At 37.3% G+C, this 8,777-nt stretch overlaps 1 long non-coding RNA gene across 1 annotated transcript, besides 1 other annotated feature; it reads right to left on the reverse strand.

The window, feature by feature from the left end:
- Window positions 1-268: 268 nt before the first annotated feature.
- LOC107984484 (uncharacterized) lies at window positions 269-2,196 on the reverse strand. The gene is made up of 3 exons (XR_001749078.1): window positions 2,039-2,196; window positions 1,579-1,675; window positions 269-380 (listed from the first exon to the last, which is right to left on the reverse strand). It is a non-coding gene; the product is annotated as an uncharacterized LOC107984484 (long non-coding RNA).
- Window positions 4,482-5,419: an enhancer, noted in NCBI's record as "OCT4-NANOG hESC enhancer chr12:39456016-39456953 (GRCh37/hg19 assembly coordinates)". NCBI's record gives its function as "activates a minimal SCP1, AML or CMV promoter by ChIP-STARR-seq in naive H9 embryonic stem cells {active_cell/tissue: H9 hESC(naive)}" and the evidence as "EXISTENCE:reporter gene assay evidence [ECO:0000049][PMID:30033119]".

An 8,777-nucleotide genomic window follows, 5' to 3' on the forward strand; every position in this document is an offset into this window, starting at 1 on the left:
GGAAAAAATACTTCAGTCTAGAAGTCTAGAATACTTTTTGAAGGTATAATTTTATTTCAGGTAAATTCTGGCTAAATTATTCCAACAGGATTTAAAACCCTTATTTAATAAAGTTACAATCAAGTCAGGAGTTTTGGCCTTAATGTAGGCACAATTAACCTTGAGATTAGAGGGCTGAAGGATGGTTAATTTATAGACTCACGAATTGCTTCTCCCTCATGAGAACAAGGGCAATGGGAACGTGAGCATTACTTACAGTACTGTACTCATCTCTGTGTATTGCTGGACATTTTCAGGAGTGGGGTCCAGAAACATGTTGAAGTCAAGAATTCCTCCAATAGTCCGGAATGTTAAAGAAGGATATGGGCTAAGAGTGGTTTCTGAGGAGAATAAAGCAAAGTACAAAATAAGCACCAATAAAATAAGTGCAAAGATTACTATTAATGTTTCTAACATTGGTATGCTACCTAGGCTGGCTGCCTAATTATATCAGGCCCTATTCATAGCTGTAATAACCTGTAAGTGTGTGCCTGGATTTCCCGGTTCCACGTGTTCACAATTTTACTTTTCAAAGAGTTCATCAAGTCAGTTACTTACTGCACTTATGCACTGAAGGGGTTAAAATATGCCATTCTGGTGTATTGACAATTTAAGTTAAGGGCACTTGAAAAAGAGCAGGTGCAAAAAGATCACTCTGACCTTTTTCCTGTTTCTTAAAAGGTTGGAATCCCCATGTGAAAGATACCCACCCTATGCTAGAAAGATGCAACATTCTCATCACCAAGGACAGAATGTTGAGACTAAGAAAATACTGTGCAGACTTTGTTAAAATAACTCTTGTCCTTTAAGCCTCCCCAAATAATTTAATTGCTTTCTTCACAATTTGCTATTCTTTGTCCAATTCAGTATTTAAGTATCTGACTCTAACTGCTTCTTCAGGTCTTTATTTATTTATGAGGGTTTCCATGCTACATAAAACATGTGTCAAATAAATCTGTATACTTTTCTCTCATTACTCTATCTTAGGCCAATCTAATTATCAAACCAAGCTGGGAGCATTAAGAGAATGGAGGTGGAATTTTTCCACCCCTACTACACACACACACACACACACACACACACACACACGCACGCGCGCGCCAGCGAGAAAGGGAGTTAGTTTAAACCCAAGCACACAATTAAGGAAAGCCACTGCAGAAGCAAGGCATTTCAAATATTTCTAGCCTAATTTAATGCAGAAATGTGGCCTTGGCAATGTTTATCTTGTTGAGATGATAAGGCAGAGCCGTAGACATTACATTACCATGAAATTTCTAACACTGATTGTTCAAGTGGCTTCTGATTTCTCCAGTTACATGTCTTTAGTGTTATGTGTCTTAATGGTATTTTGCAATATATTAGAATGAATGTATATCTTTCATTAAAAAAATTTTCATTTTGAAACCAAAATGTTAAATTGTAGACAATCGCTCACTCGATTTGCTTCTAATTAATAAGCATTTTTAAAGGAGAAAAGACAAAATTAGCATTTAAATTGTGCATTTGCTTCTTTATAATTTAACCAGACAATCACATTACCTTGGGCATTGGAATTCAGGAGAAGAACACCATGAGCATTAAAATCATTCTCTATGCAATTATATAAAGGATGAACTCCATAGAGATTGCTAAATGGCTGCAACAGCAAAAAGAAATACTATGTTTTCTGATAGTTTAGTATCATTTTATTATTTTACTAAAAGAGACACTGTAGCAATTAATGACCCGCCAAAAATGTATAATTTCTCTTCTGAAGTTAAAGGCAACTAGTGAAAACTTGAGTGGATGTAAAATTTTGAACTTGTCTTTATGACTAAGTATAAACTGATATGATTTCTGAGAGTAAGTCATATTTATAGTTACAGAGTAAATAACATGCATACTCTATTAATAGAGTAAATCTTATTTATATTTATAGGCTCTTATAGAAATTCATTATAATTCATGGTACCTGCTTCTTTCCATAAACAAACTTCTAGTATTAACAATCTATACTCACATATTACCGTTGGTGAGTGAGCTCTGGAAAACATTCCATATTTAACAAAATTCATGTCATGCTTAAAGGATAGATGTTCATGTTCACCAAATCCACAGATTGGAGTGGATGGGACCGCAGTTGTCATTTGTATAAACTGGTTAGAAAAAATCAGGCCTCCAAGAAATGTTTCCCACCTGTGCCAGACAAGAAGCAAGAAGACAGTAACTAGGCAGCTCTTACTGAGAAAGTCTTTTTTCCATTAGATTCTGGTTTTAATAAATCCTGTAAAGTTAGCTCAAAAAGAGGATGACAGAACAAAAACAGGTATGAGGGAATCTGAGGGAATGGTAGGAAATTCATGTCCATTGAGTATTTACTAAATGCTAGCCCATACACTGATTATAAATTATATGGTGTTCATTCAATCCTTATAATGGCCCTGTGGAAAAGCATTATTATTCAATTTTATAAAGGAAGAAAATGAGACTCAGAAAGAGTAAAATGTCAGGCTTCTGAGCCCAAACTAAGCCATCAGATCCCCTGTGACCTGCACCTATACATCCAGATGGCCTGAAGCAACTGAAGAACCACAAAGGAAGTGAAAATAGCTAGTTCCTGCCTTAACTGATGACATTCCACCATTGTGATTTGTTCCTGCCCTGCCCTAACTGATCAATTGACCTTGTGACATTCGTTCTCCTGGACAATGAATCTCAGGAGCTCCCCCAACAAGCACCTTGTGACTCCCGCCCCTGCCAACAAGAGGACAACCCCCTTTAATTGTAATTTTCCACTACCTACCCAAATCATAAAACTGCCCCACCCCTACATCCCTTTGCTGACTCCTTTTTTGGACTCAGTCCTCCTGCACCCAGGTGATTAAAAAGCTTTATTGCTCACACAAAGCCTGTTTGGTGATCTCTTCACACGGACGTGTGTAACATAAAGTCCCATAACTTGCCTAAAATTTTACAAATAATAGTGCCAAAATTCAGTGAGTTTTGCCTGCTCAAATTTTAGCAAAGCATTTTATCTGTGGAGATGGAAGTAGGTCTTTCTTGAAATAAAAATAGTCTGTGTTCATATAAAAGTTGGAAAATACTGGGTTACCCAAACCTGGATAGATTCCTTTTTCAGAATTCTTTTTTTTTTTTTTTTTTTGGAGACAGAGCCTTGCTCTGTCGCCCAGGCTGGAATGCAGTGGCGCCCTCTCGTCTTGGCTCACTGCAAGCTCCGCCTCCCGGGTTCACGCCATTCTCCTGCCTCAGCCTCCCAAGTTCCCAAGTGGCTGGGACTACAGGCACCCGCCACAACGCCCGGCTAATTTTTTTGTATTTTTAGTAGAGGTGGGGTTTCACTGTGTTAGTCAGTATGGTCTCGATCTCCTGACCTCATGATCCGCCCGCCTGAGCCACCCAAAGTGCTGGGATTACAGGCGTGAGCCACCGCACCTGGCCTCCTTTTTCAGAATTCTTAATGAGGAACATTATGATTCTCCAAGAATGCTTGATTGTTGCAAGCATAATGATTCTCCAAGAGGTGACTCTCACATATGACATTTTTCAAAGATAATAGATTATAGAAACCTATATAGAATGCCTGTGGAGATTGTGGAAGCCTATCTTCAATCACTTCAGGGAAAGGGAGAGAGCAGCCGTGGTGTTGGTGACATTACAGCAGTCGCAGTAATGGTAGCCCCCATGCTGCTGCCCAACTCATACCTCGCACACCTCTATTGTGGTTCAATGCCTGGTCCTAGTCCACAAGACCAACGGGTGCACCTAAGTCCACTGTGAGAGGAGTTGCTCACACACTTGAGGAGACTGCTACTAAGTAACAGCATGGTATGGCCAGTGCTGTTACTTAATATGTTTGGTAGAAATCATTGCTTTTAGTCTCTCTCTCCTCATTCAAGGAAAGTTTTCCGAGTGCCACGAACTCTCCTGAGCACTGAAGAAATAGACAGAGGAATATGAAGCAGGAACAGCAGATCGTTACAACACAATGGGCTATGTGGAGATAAACAAGCGCTTGTTAATAAGGGCGCAGAACAAAGGCATGCACATACCATAGCCTGAGAAGGTAAAAGATCAGGGGAAGCTATTATGAGCAGGTCAGGTTCTGTATACGAAGAGGAAGAGTCTGTATCCACTCTGTTTCCCATAGGAAAAAAGCTTTTATTAACTTTTTCTCGTGTTCTTAGTTGGATACAGGTTTCTCAGACCCTAATAAACAAGAAAACTCATTTAATCTTTCAAGTCATCAGGAGCCTCTGAACAAGATTTATCTTTCATTTTTCTCTCTGACAAGTATCCAAGCCTCTATGTATAACTTTCTAATAGTTCATTAAAAAGTCACTTAGCCAAAAAGACCTGAAACAAACACCAAAATGCTACTGGAGTCCTTTCTGATTAATTAATAATATTAATAGTAATCATTTGCATCAAAGATTGTATAAGAATATATATATATATTTGACATAGAATCTCACTCTGTGGCCCAGGTTGGAGAGCAGTGACATGATTATTGCTCACTGCAGCCTCAACCTCCCAGGTTCAGGCAATCCTCCCACCTCAGCCTCTCTAGTAGCTGGGACTACAGGTGTGTACCACCATGCCTGGCTAATTTTTTTAAAAAAATGTGTAGAGACAGGGTCTCACTATGTTGCCTAGGCTGGTGTCAAATTCCTGGCCTCAAGCAATCCTTCTGCCTCCAGCTTCCCAAAGCCCTGGAATTATAGGTATGAGCTTCCATGCTGGGTCATGAATATTAATGAGAGAAAGACGTTCTCTTAGTTAAGCATCTGTCTCAAAGATTGTATAAGAATATCAACAGTACTTAAGAAATTACCTTGAGTTTGAGTTCCAAAGAAATCATTCATAAAAGGTGTACAAAAGGGTTATATTCAAAATATTGGAAATGAGCTCAGCACATGCTGACCAATCAGAATCCATATGGGCTACAGCCTGAAGCAGGAACCTGAATGCCCCAGGAGATGACAGGCATTGGCCCTGTGCTAGAATGAGATTACATGTATTGGCCCTTTGCTGGAATTCGGGAAGCTGTAAAGTGGCTGAGGGGCTGCAGGACAACAGAGGAGGGTGGAGACGTGAGACTAGCCTAGGGCAGCAGCTACTCACTATTATGGAAGTACTTTAACATGTTAACAACAGCTATGACCATGCTGGTGTCTGTCTCTAAGAACAGTCAGCATGCCTCTGAGGAATTATTTTCTAATTCAATTTATCTCTAAAGCTTAAAGATAACTTTAGCTCACAGAAAATGTCATTTAAGAGAAAATCTTTGGCCTTGACTTTTCCATGTAAAGAATAGTATCAATTAAGCTTTAGTAGTATACTATCAATGAATGATCCTTCATAAGGCAATTTATGCTACTGTTTATAGAAGAACTGGTTTCCTTGGAATTATCTAAAGTGTTATTTACTTATAGAAAGCAAGCAGAACCAACGACAACATGCTATGTGTCTCATTAGTTTCAACCACAAACTTGAAATGCATCCTCCTAGATATATTTTGTTAAGTACACACTTTTGGACTCTACTTTCCTTAGCAGAAAATGAATCTAATCATTATCCATAAAATTCACATTAGTTGTTCTGAAACAGCTGGGTTGCCATAGTTTGTGGCATATTGTGAGTTGTTATTGCCAGTTCACTAGGGAATAATTGATATAAGAGGCATAAGCTGTGTCAGTCCTCGCTCTCTCTCTCTTGCTTCTTTTTATAACTTCCAATGTTCTAAAATGGTTAGCACCATTACAGAGAGTCCAGTCTCTTGAGATTTTCCTAAGCCATATTGACAAATATTCTTTTCTATTTCTCCTTTCCTTTCATGAACACTGGTTGTATACAAAGAAAAGAAAATCATATAAAGGGAAGGAAAAACATGCTTGAATAAGAAACCAGATTTCATTGTTTATTTTGAAATTACCTACGTTTGACATTAAAAAATGAGGGCTTTATCAGTCTACAAACTGGACACTAATAAGTCAAAAAAAAGAGGAGGAAAACAATAGTATGATGTCAACAATGCTGAGTTTTAAAATGATATTGAAATAAAGCATTCTCATTGTTCAAGTGAAACTAAAATAATTTGAGTGCAATTAAAATAATACCACAAAAATAAAATAATTTCACATTACCTTTCTCTTAAGTATTTTATAAATGAAATAAAACTGACTAGATCAGATGAAATTTATTTATTAAAAGTGAAATAAAACTGCCTTAGTATTTTACTTATTGTTTCAAAAAAGATAGCCCTCTATATCCATTTATTATTATAAGGAATTCCCCATATTTATCCATTCTTTATATTTAACCTCTCTTTTCAACTAAGCAGAGGTACACATACTGTGGCTTATATAAATAAATATTATCTTTTTAGAATGTGAGGGGAAAGGGTTGGTCTAGGCAAACTATATATTTTGTATGTATGAATAGATGATGGAATTCTAACACATGCATTCCAACATTTATTATATGAGCTATGTACTGACAGGAATTATAAAACCATTTTATATTTCCTCCTTTTACTTCCTGTCATACTATTCTTTTTATAACTAGAAAATATCTAGAATCTTTTTCTTCTTTTGTGCCTTTCTTATGTAGTTCTTTTAAACAAAATAAGCCCTCAGTGCAACTATCTCCTCCCTGAACTCTTATCTAATTCTTGTCAGAATTAAAATCTCCTTTTGCATTCCTCACACCTCCATTTGGCTTTTTTTTTTTCTCTTCATTCTCTTAGTTGTCCTACTTAGCCCTTTTGAGAACAGGTAGTATGTCTTTTATTCCATCTTATTCCCAATAATAACCATCAAGTGAATATTGAGAAAATGTAATTTTTCTATATACTTGGAGAAAACACAAGGTGCAACAGAATTTGTTAAATATCTATTATAAGAATGCTTTTATACATAGTAATAGAAAACTGAGTCCTTCCACTCTCTACTTTCGGTACATGATAATTCACAAATCATCGGAGAAAGCCCTACAAATCTGCTTAACCGGAGCGGGGTGAGGAGATAGAGGATGTATTTACCAAGATTCCTGATCTGCAGCACACACAGGAGCATTGGATGTCAGAGCAAACACGACTCCACAGGCTCGCACTCAGTCAGAGAGGATGTCAAGGCAACACTCATACCTCAGCCTTAACAACCAGACCTGCAGGCAGCTGGAATATTTTTCTTAGTCGTCTTAGACAATGCAATACAGGGGAAATGCCTTCTGAGCAAATCTGAGTTCTAGTCTCATTTCTACTATTAAATGATAAAGACCAGTTTCTTCAGGTTTCTGTGACTTGTTTCTCTAAAAAGACAGACTGAAGAGGATAGAACCTGATGGCCTTTTTTAGCCCTTCATTCTTAATGTATTATCCCTCCATGTGTTGCTAAGCCATTCGAAAGAAGTTGATTATAAACCTAGCTCAGCCGCCAAATCGACTGTTTCTGTGCACATGTGCTCCAACTTGACCTTCTCTTCTGTTATGGTGGATGAACTGCCTGTGCTCCTGAGACGAACTCTTCCAGCAATTCACTGGACTCCAGCCTTTCTCCCCTTTTTCTTATACCATCTTTCATATCATCATACAACACACATTTTTATCTCATCTTCAAAAAATAACTTACATTCCCTTTTTTGACCTCATTTCACTCCATTTCTCTCTTCCTTAAAATTAACTTTTTCAAAAGAATCGTTTACTGTCAGTCTTTTCCCTTTCTCTCTCTGCTCTCTCTTGAAGATACTCATCTCAGGCCTTAACCTCCCCAAAACCCTACTGGAACTGCTCTTATCAAGATGAACAAAGAACTGCATGTTGCTATAACCCACGTTCAATTCTGAGTCCTCATCAGCACAGTTGATGGAATTATTTCACATCCTCTTTTCTGAGACACTTTCTGCATTCTTTTCAGTATGAGTGAAGAAACTCCATATTTCTATAATTTCAGTCCAATTGTGTCTTGCTATTTCTTTGCATCCCAAAAAGGTATTTACAGAGCAATGGACAAGTACTCACTGGTATTTACTTATTGAATATTTATTGTGCTTGAAGATGTGAAACATGCAAAATTGAGCCAGACATTAGTTTTGCCATAAGGAGGTTAAAATACGGAGGGAGAAATAAGACAGTGAAGTGAATGAATATGATGCAAGATAGAAAATGTAATTTTCTTAATATAACAGTAAATATTTATATTGTAAATATAAATATTATTTTATAATTTTTAAATACATGTTATAAATATGTATAAATAAGACTTTAAAGAAAAGTATATATTTGGTGCTCCTGGAGTTCAGAAGAAAGAGAGATTATTTCTATGTGAGGTTTTCAGGCAGCCTTCATGAAGAAGGTAGATGAAGCATTGGAAGAATTTGGATGTACAGAGACAGCAGAGAAAGGCATTCAATAAATGGAAGAAAGAGGAAACAGTTTGAATAAATGTAGAAAGGAGGAAAAGTATAGGACAGGCCCCAGAAATAGCAGAGACAGAGGTCTCTTCCTTGTGTTCAGCATGCTGTGAGAAAATATCTTTAAGATTTTTTAAAGCCCTTTTGTCTGGTTTAGAAGGCCTATCAGACATCAAGCTAAATTATTCTGTGGTCTCAACAAAGGCTTTCATAGCCACACACTTATTGATCTTTACCTACAGTCATTTCTTTCTTTGGGAATATTTTACTGGCTGGAGAGACTGAGGATGAGAAACAGTTTGATATTCCAACTCAGTCAGTCCAAGAAC

Source organism: Homo sapiens, chromosome 12 (genome assembly GCF_000001405.40).
Source record: "Homo sapiens chromosome 12, GRCh38.p14 Primary Assembly".
NCBI lineage: Eukaryota > Metazoa > Chordata > Mammalia > Primates > Hominidae > Homo > Homo sapiens.